Raw genomic sequence first — 17863 nt, forward strand, 5'->3', positions numbered from 1 at the left:
TAAAAAAGCTAATGATTAGGCTAGTATTTAGTCTTAGGATAGCTGATCATTTCAGCTAACGAGTGAACACAATAGTCCATGAAATACCCAGACCAATATTTCCTTACGTGGGGTGTAAGAAATGCTCCCCCATGGAAAGCTTTGAAAAATCCTCAAAGATTTTAATCTATAGGGTCTAGTTTCTTTCTTCTTCAAACACTGGCCATTACAGATAAGACAAAGCGTATATACACACACACATAATGTATGTACAAACATGTATATACACAAATATACCCACATACACACACACATACACATACACACGTGTGTATGTAAATATATTTAAAAGTGGTGTCAAGGAAGTTTTTATACCAATTAACCTGTGGGCAATGAAGCAGCTAAAGACCATTCTGACAGACTTTTTGCCTGAAAACATATTATACTGTAACTATTTTATTACCACTAAAGAACCTGAAATGCATCTTTATATAAAACAAATGATTTTATATACAGTCTGAACTAGTTTGTCTCAAAACAGCGAGTCTCACTTTGATTCCCTATCTGGAAAGTTGTCTGATCCACTATTAAGTAACTCTATCCAAGATCCTAATGCAAATGTTACATATCCATTAAGAGTTAGTAAAAGGTTAAAAAAAAAAAAACAAAAACCACACATACATTCTTAGCTTTAGTTCTTTAATTATCCTGTAATAATTAAACCCAGCATATTCCTAAACTAGCAACAACAAAATCCCTTTCTTTCCAAACTAGAAAGTGACACTTTGCGTGCTCCATAAAACTTTCGAAATAGAGTATTCTTAGTTAACTTCTGATCATTATATGAATCGGACATTTAAAAAAACGTAATTAAAATGTCAATTTTTCAAAGAATAACATATTTTTCCATATGGCTGGCAACATCTTTATTATTTTAGTTAACGAATTCATCTTAATGTTTTATTCATTTTAAGGCCATTTATGTGCCCTCTTTAAGACTCACACTATTTTCCCTAAAGTTCTTTTCCTCTCTGCTCTGTGCCAACACAGAATCTCCAAAACAGTTTGTACTAGCTGCAGAGAAGCAACAATTCTACAGTAAATTTCATTTACCATTTGGTTGGGTACATACTGAAATTTGGATTCATGAATATTGACAGTTTATAGACATCAATGAGAAGAAAATTGACACTGGCATGTGACTGCCAACAACCAAGTCACCTTACCTCACATAGAAATGAAAATAGACCTCAGTAGCTAATAATTTTGAACAAATGAATAAAAGTGTCCAAGACAAAATTACATCAACTAAGTTCGAAATTACACACAAACCTTGAAATGAAAATTCAGAGTAAACATTTTAAAATACACAAGGAGACTAAATTGTTTGACACGTTTTGATCCAATGCTAATATTATTAACCAATTACCACATCTTGAAAAAGCTTACTGTAGCAATAGAATCCTTAATATTAAAGGCTAGAATTTCAATCGAGTGTCATTGTTTTCTCAAACATATTTGTCAGCTGTACTGCATACAGTGGCAATTCTGGAAGAAGAACATTATTTGAACGGAACATCAGAAGAACACTGATAGACATATGTGAAAGGAAATAATGAGACTACAGATTTTTAAAATTTACCCCCAAAATGGTAAATGTATCAAAGAAATAAAACACTTTTACCAATTATGTTGCACAAGATCTCCAACTGCCTTGAAACATCACATTCTTTCAAGCAACATATAGCAAACTGCTTTCTCTAAGACTACCTTTAACAGTGACTGGTGAAAGCCTTTTAAACTATTTTCCGATTAACATCTCCCTCCTTCATTTGTTAAATATTGTGATCAAGTATAACAATGAAACCGTTTTTAAGGAAATAATGTATAATTTTAAAAAACATTTAATCTCAATCCCTTTAACCAATGGAGGTGTGACAACAAACGCATGTAAAATTAACCTTAATCCGCCAACTAAAACACGCAAAATGTCTCCTAACAATTCTCCTCCTCCTTAAAACAACAACCGTACACATAAATACGGTTCTGACCTCTACCACTACTGCGAACAGCTAATTAATAAAGAGAATGGTTATGTTTGGAGACCAAGGTGCAACACCCCCCCTCATAAACCTCCCAAAATAACCACATCATCCAAGTAGAACTGAACATTATTTTTGCTAAAGCAGGATTTCAACCTCGGGGAGCCTCAGCCCTTAGACAATGGTGGTTACCAGACAGTGCTAAACAGTTGGGTCCAAATGACACATTTCACTAGGCCTTGGACACAACACACACACGCGCGCGCGCGCAAACACACACACACACACACACACACACACACACACACACACAAAATATCCCAAGGGGCCAGTTCTAAGCAAGGGGCGTTCAAACCCCACTAGGAGACGGAGAGTAGCACCGCGGCATGGGGGGTCGCTCGGGGAGGACAGGCGAGGGGGTGTCGATAGAGCGGAAGGGTAACTGCACTGCACACGAGGGAGGGGGCTGGAAATGGCCGATGGATTCTATATTTATTTATTTAAAGGTCTTGATTTAATGGGTCCTTCCCAGGGGTTCGTAACTAAAGACAAACTGCGCAGCAAACACTGTGGGGTTGGGAGAGGAGTCGCTGCTCCCCCTACCCCGTGACCAGGGACGGGGGGGCGGGGGAAACAAGTTCCCCTGCCAACACCACAGACCACCCCGATTCCCCTCTCCCGCTCCTCCTCAGGAAGGGGTAGGCTAACACAGAAAAGAGGGGGAAAACAAGTTCCCCAGCCAACCCCACCACCCGATCGCTCCCAGTCGCTCCCCCCACCTACCACTAGAAAGAGGCAGACTAAACCATGGAAGGCGGCAGAAAAGGGAGAAATCACGCCGCTCGCCTTCCCCCCGGCCACCAACAGACTCCCGCGGGGTCTGTGAGCGAGCGGAGAAGCCAAAGGGATGGGTGGGGGTGGAGGGTGCTGAGCCCCCGAAACCAAACAAAGCGCGGCCTGAGCGAGAGCCCAGGCGAGAAGGGAAGCCGCGGCTTTTCCTGCCGGCCGGGCCCGGCCCGGGCTGACACTGCGGCACCGGGGGACCCGCCTCCGCTCAGCTTGGGTCTCCCACCCCCAGGGCGCGCAGGCCGCCCCCGCCCGCCCGCCCGCCCGCCCGCCCCGGCCTCCCTTCCCGCGGTGCCCGGGAAGGCGGGCGGTTGGGAGGTAGCGCGGCCTTACCCCGCTCGCCGACGTTGTTCCGCTCCTGAGGCAGCGGCGGAGGCGGCGGTGGCGGCGGCGGAGGCTGCTGCTGCTGCTGCTGCTGCGGCGGCGGCGGAGGCTGCTGCTGGGGCGGCTGCTGCTGGGGCGGCTGCGGCGGCGGCTGCTGCGGGGGCTGCTGCTGCTGTTGCTGCACCGGGCGCGGCCGCGACACTCGCCTGGGTCTCCGGTTGGCGGCTCGGACGGAGTTCATTTGCCGGGCTGAGGTGGCGGCGTTGGCGGAGGGACACACACACGCACACGCACAGCGAGCTTCGGGGCAGGAGAAAGGGGTGGGGAGAGTGGGAGAGGGGGGAGGAAGGAGAGGGGGCGAGGGGAAGGGGAGACGCTGAGGGCGGAGGGGGCGAGCGGGACCCCGAGTCCGGAGAAAGGCCCGGGTAGACAGACGGAGACCGAGCGAGGCCGGCCGGGAGGGCCTGACGCACGGGGAAGGCCGAAGCCGCCGGGCGGGGCGGCCGCGAGGGACGAAGGCAGAAAGACGGGCAGACCGAGAGAAAGAAAGAAAGGGCGTCCGCCGCTTGGGGATCCCGAGGCGAAGCGCGGCGGCGGCGGCGGCGGCGGCTGAAGAGACAGATCCCGGTCCCGCCGACTCGCGAGCGGCGTCTCCGGCAGCGGGGGGAGTGGGCGGGCGGGTGAGGAAGGGAGAAAAAGAGAGGGAGAGAAGGGAGGGAGGGAGCAGGGGGCGCCCGGCTCTTTTTTTTCCCTCTTCCTCCCCCCCACACCCCCTGAAAGAGATTTCTGTGAGGAATTTTTCTCTCTTTCTTCGGTCTCTTCTCTCTCCTCCCCCCCTTCTCTCCTCGGCGAAGGGGAAATGAGTGTGAAGGGAGGAGATAGGGGGAAAAAGAGGCGTCGTCCTTCCTCCTCCTTAAAGGAACCTTTCCTCCTCCTCCTCGTCAGCCCTGTCGCCGCTGCTTCTGCTGCTGCTCCGTGGCAGGAGGAGCCATTGACACCGCCGGAGCCTCCACTCGCCCAGTCGGTCCCTCCCCGCCGCGGGGCTGGCCGGGGGCGCGGGGGAGGGCCGCGGGGCGGCGGGGGGAGGGGTGGGTGGGCGGGGAAAGGAGGGGCGGGGATTCCGTCCAGGCGGCCAATCTAAGGCGCCCGTACAACCTTCCGGCCAATGGGGCCTCCGCTCTTATCGCGAAGTCCCTTCAACGCCCTGTTTCCTCTCTCGGGTTTCCTCCCTCCCCCGCCTAGGAGGGGGAAAGAGGAAAGGGGGAGTGTGGCGGGGCGGGTGATAATGGGGAGGTATCAGGGCAAATAATAGAGCAGGGGGTGGGCGAAGAGAGCGCCAGTGCGTAGCGACGATTCTGGGAGAGGAGGTGCTCGGAGGAAAGGGCGGGGGTTGCTGATGTAATGGGGAGAAGTGATTAATCCTTCGGTTCGCCGTTTCAGCTTCCCCCCTACCCCAACCTTCACCCGATTTTTTTGAGCTGAAAAAAAAGTGGAACGAGGGAGCCAATCTTTGGTAACTCGGGTTTTCTGTGGTAGGTGGGTTCAAAATCTGAGCTGTAGGGAGCGCTAGAGATTTCGTGCCCTTTAGCCAAGCTGAGGGTATTTGCAAACCCTGAAGATTTCCGTCTCCGAGCTTTGGGCTTGGTAAGCGAAGTTTGGAGTCGGTGCCTAATCGTATATCATCTAAACCTTGAAAAGGCTTTGACCTTTGGCCAATTTGATTTGTTCTTTGAAGAAGTGTATACAATGTGTGGGAAAATAATATGTGAGAGGAGAGAAGTAAATGTGTTGATGTTGTGATTGTTTATGTGATTTAATTTTTAATTTTTTTTTTTTAGGTCCCACAAACTGCAAGGAAAAGAAAAACCCTCAACAGGAATTACCTTTATACCTGATGCCCCCAACATAATCTCTCTCCAAGGGAAACGTGTTTTTATTGCCTTGCGGCTGAAAATGTATTCTCGATTCTCCCCCTTCTCTCTTTTGTTGTGCATTTTTTGGATGTGGTAAAACTGGCAGTTTATCTGATTATCTGGTTTTCAGAACTTTGGGCGATGTCTCTGAGTGTCATCAGTTGCTCTCTAGGTTTGACATAGATAATTAAGCAACTACAAAGCGTGATAAAGCTTTTGAGAGGGAGGAAAATGTATTTTGGAAGGAGGGAGAGACGCAAAGAGGCGAGCCTGTGTGTTGAGTCCCAGACTTGGTGTGTGACTACAGGCAAAGTACTTCACCTTTCTAGATGTCAGCCCCGCCCCCCTCACCTCCCAAGTTTAAATAAGAACTTATTTTAGACTACATGATCCTGTTTTCAATTTTTAAGAGTTCTGTGATTTTGAGATGATCTCTCTTTAGTCCAGAAAAATAGAGAAACGTAGGTCTATGTTTGTTTCTCAAAAAAATATTTGAGGAGGACAGCTGTTACAAAACAGCTGGAGAACTCCAAATTTTTATGGTGGTTAGCTAGGTGCAAATGGGTACAATTTTAGGTTTGTTCAAATAAACATAGGGGAAAAGTAAAAGTACAGGAAAATTACGTTATACATATAAGTGTGTCCATCATTTCTGATTTTTCTAAAAATTTACTTTTTTATTTGACAAGTACTTTTTGGCTCCTTCCGTGTATGCATTAATATGTATATAAGGTGTTATGGGAAATACTAATAAAAGGAAAATATTGGGCATAAAGAGTTTGTATTTTGGTGTGGCAGAGTGGAAGTTTTACTTACATTAATTCAGATGTAAAGAAAATGTAGCTTGTTTATTTTCTGTAATTTTAACTTCAAGTCCCCACATCATCTCAATTTTTTAAAAAACATAACTGCTTTCACCTTTTATTTCCCCAACTCTCCTTCTAATATATTAATGGGAGGGGCGGGGTTTAGGGTTGTTATATGTGGTATAAGGGGTATCTTTTACATACCCTAGATTTCTAAGTTTATTGCAACAATTCTCTGACATATGGCAGTAAAATGCCTTGTTTTAGCAAAATTAGTATATTATGACAATTTCCTGATAGATGGTAGTAAAGTGTCTTGAGAAAGGAAGCACCTTTTTCAAATTCACAGAGTAACTGGTAGGGTGGTAGCATCCCTGAGGAATAGGGAGGTTTACAAGGGCATCTAAGCCACTAATGCCAGTCCTTATGTTGTCTTCTGGCGTGGAGTGGCTAGTATTGTCTGATGGCAGCCACTGTCGTTTATCATTTATTACTCATAAAACTGGTCATTTCTGTACTTTTGAGGCTGATTTCTTTTGCTGAAATCCATACATGAGCCATTTGCCCCATACACTATAACCTCTTTGTACTGACCCCGAGTCTCCACAGGTCCCTTGATCCTCATGGTTCTCACTGAGACACATGGGTACTTCTGGATTCCCCGAATACCACGTGTAGGCCTTGATGAGCCAGGAGCCTTGCTTTGGGCTTACTAGTTGTTGAGCCACTATCCAACAATGTTGCATTTTTCTCCTTATGTCATATTGAACATGCTGGCAGGCTGAAAGTAGAACTCCTAGACGTCTTAGTGTTTCACAGACATGTCCAGGGACGCAAACCACTATCTCCAACTTTCTTGGATTTCCCTATGTCTCTGTGCATATGTCAACTACATACCCTCAATTCTAGTTTCCACCCTGAGAGGGGATGGAAAGTAAGCACACTGAGTCTGATTAACCTCTTCCTTGTACCCTTTTCTTCTTTCCATCATGCCCCAGGGTTTTTAAGGAATGGATTTTTCTCCTTCCCATTTGTCAGGAACTTTCCTTCTGTACCGTATCCTCTTCATTTTTGAGATTTGGCATTTCTTCTGCTCCCTTTCTTGGAGCCGTGATAGCTGATGAAGTGCTCAAGAGAGAACCCAGTTTAACAATAATGGAACACCTATTGGGAGATATTAAAAAATATTATCCTATCCCTACATTACTGGTTTCTACATATGTTTAGTTTATTTCAGGGATTAAATGTTGAAGTCATCTTTGTGTAAAAGTGTTCAAACTCAATTGTGGAACTTAAGAGTTGTCAGGACGGACCTTGGAGATCATTAAATCTCATTTCTGTATTCAACAGACTAGGAAACTAAACTCCAAAGAAGGGAGGTGACAAAACTATAACTATTTGGTAGCAAAGCCACTGTCTGCCAATCCAGGGCCCTTTCCATTCAGAAGCATTGTAGACAGTATTTTGAGTTCTGGTGAGAACCCAAAATATCCTGGAAGGTTTTATCCATAGGCAGATCCACCTATATTAGTAAATAATTCTGTCAATTAGCTGTCATAAAAGTTATATATGTTAGAAAACAGGAGAAAAATTTAAAAGGATTTCTTTTAGGGGTGGGAGCCACCTAGAATTATTTCAGTAATACTTAGCATAATTTCAGAGGACTGAATTCCCTCAGGGTTTGCTCTCTCTTCAAGAACATTTGTGTTTGTTTTTCTCAGCTAATTACTGGTGCTTAAAAGGTTAGTGTACTTAAAATTATTTGTTTATAAAACCTATCACAATAGCAGTGTGGAAAAAATAAGCTCTTTAATCATTTTAATACCTGGCAGGTGATATTTACTGTGATTCTTAAATTATAATTTTACCATTTCAAAGATTCAGCTTCCCTTTCCTCTGTCATTCTATCATCTAGTCCCAAGCCGTCAGCACTTAGTTACATAAGACACCTCAAAGCTGCTCACTCCTTTTATGTCATTTAAGAAATTAGTTTGATCTGAATATGGTTTCCCTGCAGGAATAACCAGCTCTGTTTAAAATATTCTTGTTAAAGTATGAATGACTTATCTCACTAAGCTGCAAAAATTCATTCTTCAGTACATGCCCAGATAATTTTTTATCAGTTAGGTAGTGAAAATTAACTCGGAACTAAGGATTTAAATTTAACGTATATGTGGGAAAACCTGGTAAGCACACAATCCAATGATACCCAGAAGTTATCTTTAAAGAATTATAGAATCTGACTTTAATACCTTTCCCTGTGAAGTAATACAGAACGCTATTAAAAGAAATCAATTTTGTTCAAGTTTTAGGCTGGACTGTGATACACAGTGGTAAATCTTTGTTTTTTAAGAGCAGAACCAATTTCTTTTTATTATTATTATTATACTTTAAGTTCTAGGGTACATGTGCACAATGTGCAGGTTTGTTACATATGTATACATGTGCCGTGTTGGTGTGCTGCACCCATTAACTCGTCATTTACATTAGGTATATCTCCTAATGTTGTCCCTCCCCCCTTCCCCCGATCCCACGACAGGCCCCAGTGTGTGTGATGTTCCCCTTCCTGTGTCCAAGCATTCTCATTGTTCAATTGCCACCTATGAGTGAGAACATGCAGTGTTTGGTTTTCTTTCCTTGCAATAGTTTGCTGAGAATGATGGTTTCCAGCTTCATCCATGTCCCTACAAAGGACATGAACTCATCCTTTTTTATGGCTGCATAGTATTCCATGGTGTATATGTGCCACATTTTCTTAATCCAGTCTATCATTGGTGGGCATTTGGGTTGGTTCCAAGTCTTTGCTATTGTGAATAGTGCCGCAATAAACATATGTGTGCTTGTGTCTTTATAGCAGCATGATTTATAATCCTTTGGGTATATACCCAGTAATGGGATGGCTGGGTCAAATGGTATTTCTGGTTCTAGATCCTTGAGGAATCGTCACACTGTCTTCCACAATGGTTGAACTAGTTTACACTCCCACTAACGGTGTAAAAGTGTTCCTATTTCTCCACATGCTTTCCAGCACCTGTTGTTTCCTGACTTTTTAATGATCGCCATTCTAACTGGTGTGAGATGGTATCTCATTGTGGTTTTGATTTGCATTTCTCTGATGGCCAGTGATGATGAGCATTTTTTCATGTGTCTGTTGGCTGCATAAATGTCTTCTTTTGAGAAGTGTCTGTTCATATCCTTTGCCCACTTTTTGATGGCGTTGTTTGATTTTTTCTTGTAAATTTGTTTAAGTTCTTTGTAGATTCTGGATATTAGCCCTTTGTCAGATGGGTAGATTGCAAAAATTTTCTCCCATTCTGTAGGTTGCCTGTTCACTCTGATGGTAGTTTCTTTTGCTGGGCAGAAGCTCTTTAGTTTAATTAGATCCCATTTGTCAATGTTGGCTCTTGTTGCCATTGCTTTTGGTGTTTTAGTCATGAAGTCCTTGCCCATGCCTATGTCCTGAATGGTATTGCTTAGGTTTTCTTCTAGGGTTTTTGTGGTGTTAGGTCTAACATTTAAGTCTTTAATCCATCTTGAATTAATTTTTGCATAAGGTGTTAGGAAGGGATCCAGTTTCAGCTTTCTACATATGGCTAGCCAGTTTTCCCAGCACCATTTATTAAATAGGGAATCCTTTCCCCATTTCTTGTTTTAGTCAGGTTTGTCAAAGATCAGATGGTTGTAGATGTGTGGTATTATTTCTGAGGGCTCTGTTCTGTTCCATTGCTCTATATCTCTGTTTTGGTACCAGTACCATGCTGTTTTGGTTACTGTAGCCTTGTAGTATAGTTTGAAGTCAGGTAGCATGATGCCTCCAGCTTTGTTCTTTTGGCTTAGGATTGTCTTGGCAATGTGGGCTCTTTTTTGGTTCCATATGAACTTTAAAGTAGTTTTTTCCAATTCTGTGAAGAAAGTCATTGGTAGCTTGATGGGGATGGCATTGAATCTGTAAATTACCTTGGGCAGTATGGCCATTTTCACAATATTGATTCTTCCTATCCATGAGCATGGAATGTTCTTCCATTTGTGTCCTCTTTTATTTCATAGAGCAGTGGTTTGTAGCTCTCCTTGAAGAGGTCCTTCACATCCCTTGTAAGTTGGATTCCTAGGTATTTTATTCTCTTTGAAGCAATTATGAATGGGAGTTCACTCATGATTTGGCTCTCTGTTTGTCTGTTATTGATGTATAGGAATGCTTGTGATATTTGCACATTGATTTTGTATCCTGAGACTTTGCTGAAGTTGCTTATCAGCTTAAGGAGATATTGGGCTGAGACGATGGGGTTTTCTAAATATATAATCATGTCATCTGTAAACAGGGACAATTTGACTTCCTCTTTTCCTAATTGAATACCCTTTATTTATTTCTCCTGCCTGATTGCCCTGGCCAGAACTTCCAACACTGTGTTGAATAGGAGTGGTGAGAGAGGGCATCCCTGTCTTGTGCTGGTTTCAAAGGGAATGCTTCCGGTTTTTGCCCATTCAGTATGATATTGGCTGTGGGTTTGTCATAAGTAGCTCTTACTATTTTGAGATACGTCCCATCAATACCTAATTTATTGAGAATTTTTAGGATGAAGGGCTGTTGAATTTTGTCAAGGCCTTTTCTGCATCTATTGAGATAATCATGTGGTTTTTGTCTTTGGTTCTGTTTATATGATGGATTACATTTATTGATTTGCATATGTTGAACCAGCCTTGCATCCCAGGGATGAAGCCCACTTGATCATGGTGGATAAGCTTTTTGATGTGCTGCTGGATTTGGTTTGCCAGTATTTTATTGAGGATTTTTGCATCGATGTTCATCAGGGATATTGGTCTAAAATTCTCTTTTTTTGTTGTGTCTCTGCCAGGCTTTGCTATCAGGATGATGCTGGCCTCATAAAATGAGTTAGGGAGGATTCCCTCTTTTTCCATTGATTGGAATAGTTTCAGAAGAAATGTTACCAGTTCTTCCTTGTACCTCTGGTAGAATTCGGCTTTGAACCCATCTGGTCCTGGACTTTTTTTGGTTGGTAGGCTATTCATTATTGCCTCAATTTCAGAGCCTATTATTGGTCTATTCAGAGATTCAACTTCTTACTGGTTTAGTCTTGGGAGGGTGTATGTGTCCAGGAATTTATTCATTTCTTCTAGATTTTCTAGTTTATTTGCGTAGAGGTATTTATATTATTCTCTGATGGTAGTTTGTATTTCTGTGGGATCAGTGGTGATATCCCCTTTAACATTTTTTATTGCATCTATTTGATTCTTCTCTCTTCTTTATTAGTCGTGCTAGTGGTCTATCAATTTTGTTGATGTTTTCAAAAAACCAGCTCCTGGATTCATTGATTTTTTGAAGGGTTTTTTGTGTCTCTATCTCCTTCAATTTGAACAGAACCAATTTCTAAGTGTTGAGAGAAGACTAGGCCAAAACGATAAAAGCATTTATATTAGGGAAGGATTGGTAGGTGATAGAAGTTTGGGCAGATGTGAGAGTGGAAAACCAACAGGGAGCTTTGCCACTTCCTTGGGCAAATTCCTTAACCTCTCTTTGCTTATTTCTGCATCTGTAAAACGGAGGTGATAATAGTCCTCATTTTGTGGGATTGCTGTGAGGATCAAGCAAATTAATACCTATAAAGTGCTTAGAACAGTGTTTGGTGAATAGTCAGGGCTCAGTAAACTGCTGGCCATTACTGTTACTGTTGGTGGTGGTGGTGGTAGTGTCATTTCAGGCTTTGATGATTTTTTTTTTCTAAACGAAGTCTCACTCTGTTACCCAGGCTGGAGTGCAGTGGCGTGATCTTGGCTCACTGCAATCTCCCAAGCCTTAATGAATTTTAAGATTACATGGACGTTGTATGTGGCGAAGCAGGTATGCTTTTTTTTTTTTGAAATGGAGTCTTGCTCTGTCACCCAGGCTGGAGTGCAGTGGTGCAACGTCAGCTCACTGCAGCCTCTACCTCCTTGGTTCAAGTGATTCTCCTGCCTCAGCCTCCTGAGTAGTCAGGAATATAGGCGCGTGCCACCACACCCAGCTAATTATTTTATTTTATTTTATTTTTTTGATACCGAGTCTCATTCTGTCACCCAGGCTGCAGTGCAGTGGCACGATCTCAGCTCACTGCAGCCTCCGCCTCCTAAGTAGCTAGGATTATAGGTGCATGCCAGCACGCCAGGCTACTTTTTGTATTTTTTACAAAAATACATTTGAACATGTTTTATAGGAAGTCAGCTGTGTCCTTATTGAAAACGTAGTGTCACAATTAACCTCTTGATGAGAAATTTATCCCAACTAAATTTAAATTCACATGTAGCAGTTGGAAAATGGACATGTTCTAAAAGGCATCATGGCAATAAGGAAACCAAGAAGATGTTCTCTCTTCATTTTTGTTTCCTCTACATTATTCTTCTTACCCAAGAGAACACTAAGGCTGCTGAGGTCTTTGATAGGTGACAGCAACCAGGGTTTAAACACTGGGTTCTAGGAACATCATTTTGTTTTACAGTGCTGTTACTATAGGAGTCACATCTGCTTCTGCATTTTTGAGACAAGAGAGATTTGGGTGGATTACTTCAATTTTGCAGGTACTAAAAGTGCTACACCCATTGTAATGGAAGAAGATGCAGTGGCTGCTGAATGACTCCGAACCCCAAGGCCTTTGAGGGAGAGCCCTCTCACAGGTACTGAAAAGATCAGGAAACTAGAGAGAAGAGTATCTTGGGCTTTAAGGTCTTTGGAGTTCAGTTGACAATAGGAAGAGGAATTCATTTTGGATTTGAATTTCCCCGGGAATTTAATAATGGGAAGGGCTTCACATTGTTCCATTTTCAGCCACTCTGTTTTTTTATTTGGACTTTCAAAAGTAATCTCTGTTGACCAATTTTGGACAATATGATGACATAATTTCTGATGGCAAATAGACTGGGGAGTGAATATTTGGCGTAGGATGCAGTATGGTCTTGAAGTTAAGTTGATTAATGACCTATCCTGACCCATAAGAAAATCTTGGGAAGAACAGATTAACTGTGCATCTCATTGGTCTCAGGAAGTTACAGTGGTGCAATGGCAATAACTGAGGGAACTGCTAATCTCTCTTAGTTGGACAGTCTTAGTGGAACAAAGGTTTGATTATTTAGCCCATTTGTTAAAGAGAGAATAAGAGGGTCTGGAGAGTGGGGGGCTGGTGGGTATTCAGCTTTTCTCCCTGCATTTCTGCCAGAGCTCATAAAGAAGGGAACCCCCACCTAACCTTCTGCCCCTCTATCTACCCTCTTATTAAATCCTCCACATGGAAGAAGTGACTAGTCTGGTCAGAGACACTGGGGACAGTTCACTAGAGAAAGGGATAGTGACATTGAAAGGCACTCACTTTCATCTCGGACAGGATCTAATGCCTGCTTTTTCATCTCATACTCCTAGGAGCAACAGGCTGTTTTGCACATTTCCCCCCTTGTACTAGGTAAATAAAGAGGCAGTGGGGGTCACAGGGGAAGAGGCAGATGGGCACCTCTGGTGAGAAGCTCCAATCTTCCTCCTCTCCCCTTTCTGTTCCCAACTCCAGGGGTCTGGCAGGCCAACCTCATCCTGATACCTGGAAAGGTAGGTGGACTTGTGCTCTTGATACCTCTCCACTTGAATCTTGTTCTTATCTTATCCTCACTCTCACTCTGAGTTCTGGCACGCTTGGAGGGGTCCTAAGATTTTGTTTTGGAGTTGGAAAAGTAAGAGGCCTCACATAGGCTTTCTAGCCTCTACCCAGCCATGACCCAAGCTTCACTTTAAGTTTGGTTGTTTGCTTACTAATAAAATGGTACTGGAGTTCTCTTATTGGGGTATAGATACAGGTGTGCATGCTCCCTCAGGAAAACTGGTTAGAAAAAGAGGTGGTGGTAGGATTTGTGTTTGGAATTCTACCCCAAAGTTGTAACACTATTTTGGGGGACAGTTGGTTATTTTCTACATTTTAAAGCCAGAACATGTCTACATGAGATTGTCTGGCTCAGAAATTCCCAAAAGAAAAATTAAGAAAGAATAAGTACTTTGGAAAAGTTAGAACTGTTTTTAGGGCATAAAAACTAGGGGAAAAAAAGAACTCGTAAGTAGATTTTTGAGCAAGATTTTGAAAGTATAATTTACCTCTCTGCTTGGTAAGTGAGTAACTATTGCTATTCGAGTGATCAGTAATGGGACAAATGTTAAATGAAAGATAATTCCAAATAAGTGGAAATACTGTGATATTCAGTGCATATAATAAATTCTTTATTTTGACCATAAAGAGCTATACATTTTATATTAATAGAAAATGAATTTCTCTCTGCCCTCAGCTATTTAAAGAATATTGGTTTGAAGGAGTGCCAGATCACTTCTTTTCCCAAGACTCCTGCGTGAATTGAGTCAGTCCATTCTCAGCTTGTCTTTTATCCTATTGCTTAGTTTGGGCTACCTGCTGTGCAGCATGACACAGCCCTCATCTCCCATGGCCCCAAACAAGATAGGCTACTGCAAGGAGTGGTGGTCATGGAGAGGAAGGAAAGGGTGAAAACTGAAAAGATAAGGAGAAAAAAATTTAAGATTTCTATGTTTTGTTTTCCAGAAAAACTATATTACTGAAGAGACTGTTTACACATATGATGGACATTCACTCCCCAAATGCTGCTCTAGAGGAAGAAGGCTGATTAGCCACATACATGTGGCAACCATGTCAAATGGCATCAGCTCCATAGGGTTTTTTTGTTTTTTTTTTTTGAGACAGAGTTTTGCTCTTGTTGGCCACGCTGGAGTGCAATGGCACGATCTCGGCTCACTGCAACCTCCGCCTCCTGGGTTCAAGTGATTCTCCTGCCTCAGCCTCCCAAGTAGCTGGGATTACAGGCACGCACCACCACGGCCAGCTAATTTTGTATTTTTAGTAGAGATGGGGTTTCTCCATGTTGGTCAGGTTGGTCTCGAACTCTCAACCTCAGGTGATTTGCCCACCTCAGCCTCCCAAAGTGCTGGGATTACAGGCGTGAACCACCATGCCTGGCAGCTCCATAGGGCTCTTGTCTCTGTCTCCTAGCTATTCAGTGGACAGTAAGTGAATCATTAAGGTCAGTACATATATTTATATATAAAATAATTTTTGAGAAAATATTAGTAGTTTTTGTACATAGCTGGAGAAGAGGCCTTGGTATAGAGTTCCAGGTTTTGGGGTGTGAAAACATCAAGGTGTCTTACCCAATCCATTCTCATAACTTCTCCTCCCCCACTTCAAGACAGCCTCTGACACTGTAGAAATTTACACTTACGGAAATTGGAAATTAGGGAACTGATCTTTTTGTCTAAGTAAAACCCTTTAAGCTGCTACTTACCGAGAATCACAAATGAAAGGAGTCAGACTTTTGAAAACAAATAGATCAACAGATTAAACACCTTCTAGAGTTCTAATAGCTTTAGTTAAAAAGTAAATAATTATGAGATACTCATCAAAGACGGATAGCTTTTAGCCCAGAAGCTTGTGATTTGGGGTGGGTGTGGGGACAGTGAGGGAGGTGGGGAAACTCTATTTGGATCCATCTTGTCCTAACAAGAAGGAAATGGAGCTCTCTAGTCATTACAGACCACATTTAAAGGACCAGGCCCCACCACAGGATGTGTCTCCCTCTTGATACAGATCAACTTTATTAAGTGACTTATTTTAATGAATGCTTAACATAAAATTGAGGGTATTTTTGTTTTAAAATATAGTTTGTTATTAGACTTCAGGTCAGGATCCTTTGGGGAAGTAAGCAGGCAGGGCAACAATTGTTCACCTACAAACCAGAGTAGGGTGAACAAGTACAACCAGATATTCTTCAAGCCGCCACCGATGAGGCCCCTTTCTAACACTACTTGATGAACCTAAATGGTTTCCCTTCTCCCCCTGACTCCAGCCTCTCGTGTCCTACATTTGATGACTTGGATTCTGATCACTTTTTATTCCTTACCTTGTTTCCTATTTTCTGTATCTGCTTCTCCCAAGATCCTAATCTCTACGTTGTGGACCCTGAGCTGGTAACTTGATCAAGATTTCCTGTTTCCTTGCTTGATAATTTAATTTGGCACTATAATGAAGCAGAAAAACATGGGCTTTGCAGGCAGACTTGGGTTTAAATCAGACTATGCTACTAACTGGTGGTCTGACTTGGGTAATGCACTTCTCTGAGGAAGTTCCTTTTTAGTAAAATGAGGATAATTATACCTACTTCAAAATATGATTGTGATTGGAAATAGTAGCGATGGTTCTACAACATTGTGAATGTACTTAATGCCACAGAATTGTACACTTAAAAATTATTAAAATGGAAAATGTAATGTTGTGTGTATTTTGCCACAATTGGGGCCTCACAGCTCCTGCCTGTAATCCTAGCACTTTAGGAGACAGGTGGGAGGATCACTTGAGCCTGGGAGTTCAAGGCTGCAGTGAGTTATGATCGTGCCACTGCACTCTCCAGCCTGGGCAACAGAGCGAGACCCTGACTGAAAAAAAAAAAAAAAAGCCAAAAAAACACCAAAATGATTGTGAGAATTATTCTTTGTAGAACACTCATTACAATGCCTAGCACATAGTAGGCTCTCAACAAATAGTAACTATATAGCATAAAACATTTTATATTCCAAGTAACAGAAAAAGTAGAACATGAACTGGCTTAAACAATAAAAGAATATGTTGGTTCATAAAATTGAAAAATCAAGAGGTAGTGTACGCTTTGGTGTTAGTTTACGTTACTAAGAATTCAGATTCTTTAAGTCTTACGTCCCTAAGAACACAGCCATATCATTAAGGACTCAATTTCCTTCCATGTCCACTCTGCCTTCTGTAGCTACAGCTTTATTCTAAAGCCAGCAATCCTTATGATCACAAGATGGCTGCCAACAGCTCCATAGAAGTGCACGTTCCCTTGTCCATATCTAGAGAGAATAACTTGGTCCCAAAATATCCTGACATTTACTTGGTTAAATCACATGCCTCCCCGGAACCAAAAGTCGTGCATAGGAAGATGGAATATGATGGTTAGATTTAACGAACCAGGGAATGGGTCAGCTTCCCTGGAAGCACATGGGCTGTGTGGGGAGGAGTGGATTCCCGGAATGAAATAAAAGTGCCATGGAGAAGAGAAGGCAGGACTAACACACTGAGGAAACAACCAGCAAATGTCCACTATGTAGCTATTATCATTATTATTGGCTTTCTTGGCCCTGAGCCCTTGGTTCTTAGCAATTTTTTTAAAATCATTTTTTTAACCCAAAAAACTAAGAGAGTGCTTATTTTGAGTAACTGTAGTCTTTCTAGCAAAGAAAGATCAACAAGTATAAACTAAGTTTAACTAGTTTTTAGCTACCTGGACCACTGGCCAAACAAGCAACAAAATGCACTGAATGGAGCCGTTGAACAGGAATGAATATCAGGAATGGAGTACAGGAAGAAAGCTAGAAAGACAGTGACTTGCCAAAAAGCCAAACCCAGAAAAGTGAGGTTAGTTATTGACTTGTTCTTTACTGAGGCCAGGTTAGAAGCCATGACATGTGTTAGGACAAAGGGACCAATTAATGAGAGGAAGGAACATTCCCCAAAACTGAGTTAACAGAAGTTGTCTGATGAAACCTGATTAAACATGATTTTGACTGCTCTACTCACCCCTTCACAGCTTCTACCTGCCCATCTATGAGATTCCTCTTTCTCTTTTTGCCTCAGCCTCCATCTGAAGACTTGCCAATTTCTGCCTATTTTATTCTGTTCCTCCTGCCAAGAAGGCTCTTCCATACTCCTTTGTCACATTTCATCTTGCTGATTTCTATTCCTTAGTTAAGACTTTAAATTCTGACTTTTCTTTTGCAGGAAGGCCTTCCTGTGTACCACTGCCATCCCATCTTCCACCTCCAAGACACACACTGCAGACTGATTTAAGTAATTCTGTTTGTACTCCCTGCTGGTAATCAATACCTGAT

At 42.5% G+C, this 17863-nt stretch overlaps 1 protein-coding gene and 2 long non-coding RNA genes across 12 annotated transcripts in view, besides 6 other annotated features; 2 read left to right on the top strand and 1 right to left on the bottom strand.

Annotated features, from left to right (window-relative positions):
* Positions 1 to 4210, bottom strand: part of FBXO11 (F-box protein 11) — a 99579-nt gene extending 95369 nt beyond the window's left edge. For 4 of the 7 annotated variants that reach the window (XM_017005015.2, XM_005264573.6, NM_001190274.2 and 1 more), the window contains exon 1: positions 3201 to 4210. In XM_017005015.2, the coding sequence (XP_016860504.1) occupies positions 3201 to 3432 (232 nt within the window). In that variant the 5' untranslated portion in view covers positions 3433 to 4210. Of the gene's footprint in view, positions 1 to 2804; positions 3051 to 3200 lie in introns of those variants that run through there. The other 3 variants (XM_047445922.1, NM_001374325.1, XM_017005016.3) reach the window with 1 other exon arrangement.
* Positions 2013 to 2799: an enhancer, noted in NCBI's record as "H3K27ac hESC enhancer chr2:48131440-48132226 (GRCh37/hg19 assembly coordinates)". NCBI's record gives its function as "activates a minimal SCP1, AML or CMV promoter by ChIP-STARR-seq in primed H9 embryonic stem cells {active_cell/tissue: H9 hESC(primed)}" and the evidence as "EXISTENCE:reporter gene assay evidence [ECO:0000049][PMID:30033119]".
* Positions 2983 to 3032: a silencer, noted in NCBI's record as "silent region_11470". NCBI's record gives its function as "represses an Ori minimal core promoter by ATAC-STARR-seq in GM12878 lymphoblastoid cells {active_cell/tissue: GM12878}" and the evidence as "EXISTENCE:reporter gene assay evidence [ECO:0000049][PMID:35858748]".
* Positions 3043 to 3162: a silencer, noted in NCBI's record as "silent region_11471". NCBI's record gives its function as "represses an Ori minimal core promoter by ATAC-STARR-seq in GM12878 lymphoblastoid cells {active_cell/tissue: GM12878}" and the evidence as "EXISTENCE:reporter gene assay evidence [ECO:0000049][PMID:35858748]".
* On the top strand, positions 3262 to 5879 carry LOC100506235 (uncharacterized). 4 transcript variants are annotated; one of them, NR_187636.1, is made up of 2 exons: positions 3262 to 3511; positions 5030 to 5879. It is a non-coding gene; the product is annotated as an uncharacterized LOC100506235 (long non-coding RNA). The 4 variants fall into 4 exon arrangements; NR_187637.1 differs by lacking the exon at positions 3262 to 3511 and adding an exon at positions 3561 to 3871; NR_187635.1 differs by lacking the exon at positions 3262 to 3511 and adding an exon at positions 4527 to 4835.
* Positions 3523 to 3712: a silencer, noted in NCBI's record as "silent region_11472". NCBI's record gives its function as "represses an Ori minimal core promoter by ATAC-STARR-seq in GM12878 lymphoblastoid cells {active_cell/tissue: GM12878}" and the evidence as "EXISTENCE:reporter gene assay evidence [ECO:0000049][PMID:35858748]".
* Positions 4203 to 4302: a silencer, noted in NCBI's record as "silent region_11473". NCBI's record gives its function as "represses an Ori minimal core promoter by ATAC-STARR-seq in GM12878 lymphoblastoid cells {active_cell/tissue: GM12878}" and the evidence as "EXISTENCE:reporter gene assay evidence [ECO:0000049][PMID:35858748]".
* Positions 4372 to 5156: an enhancer, noted in NCBI's record as "H3K27ac hESC enhancer chr2:48133799-48134583 (GRCh37/hg19 assembly coordinates)". NCBI's record gives its function as "activates a minimal SCP1, AML or CMV promoter by ChIP-STARR-seq in primed H9 embryonic stem cells {active_cell/tissue: H9 hESC(primed)}" and the evidence as "EXISTENCE:reporter gene assay evidence [ECO:0000049][PMID:30033119]".
* Positions 12045 to 14672, top strand: LOC105374590 (uncharacterized). The gene is made up of 3 exons (XR_001739452.2): positions 12045 to 13355; positions 13458 to 13495; positions 14490 to 14672. It is a non-coding gene; the product is annotated as an uncharacterized LOC105374590 (long non-coding RNA).
* Positions 14673 to 17863: the final 3191 nt, after the last annotated feature.

This window comes from Homo sapiens, chromosome 2 (assembly GCF_000001405.40).
Source record: "Homo sapiens chromosome 2, GRCh38.p14 Primary Assembly".
In the NCBI taxonomy this organism is placed as follows: domain Eukaryota; kingdom Metazoa; phylum Chordata; class Mammalia; order Primates; family Hominidae; genus Homo; species Homo sapiens.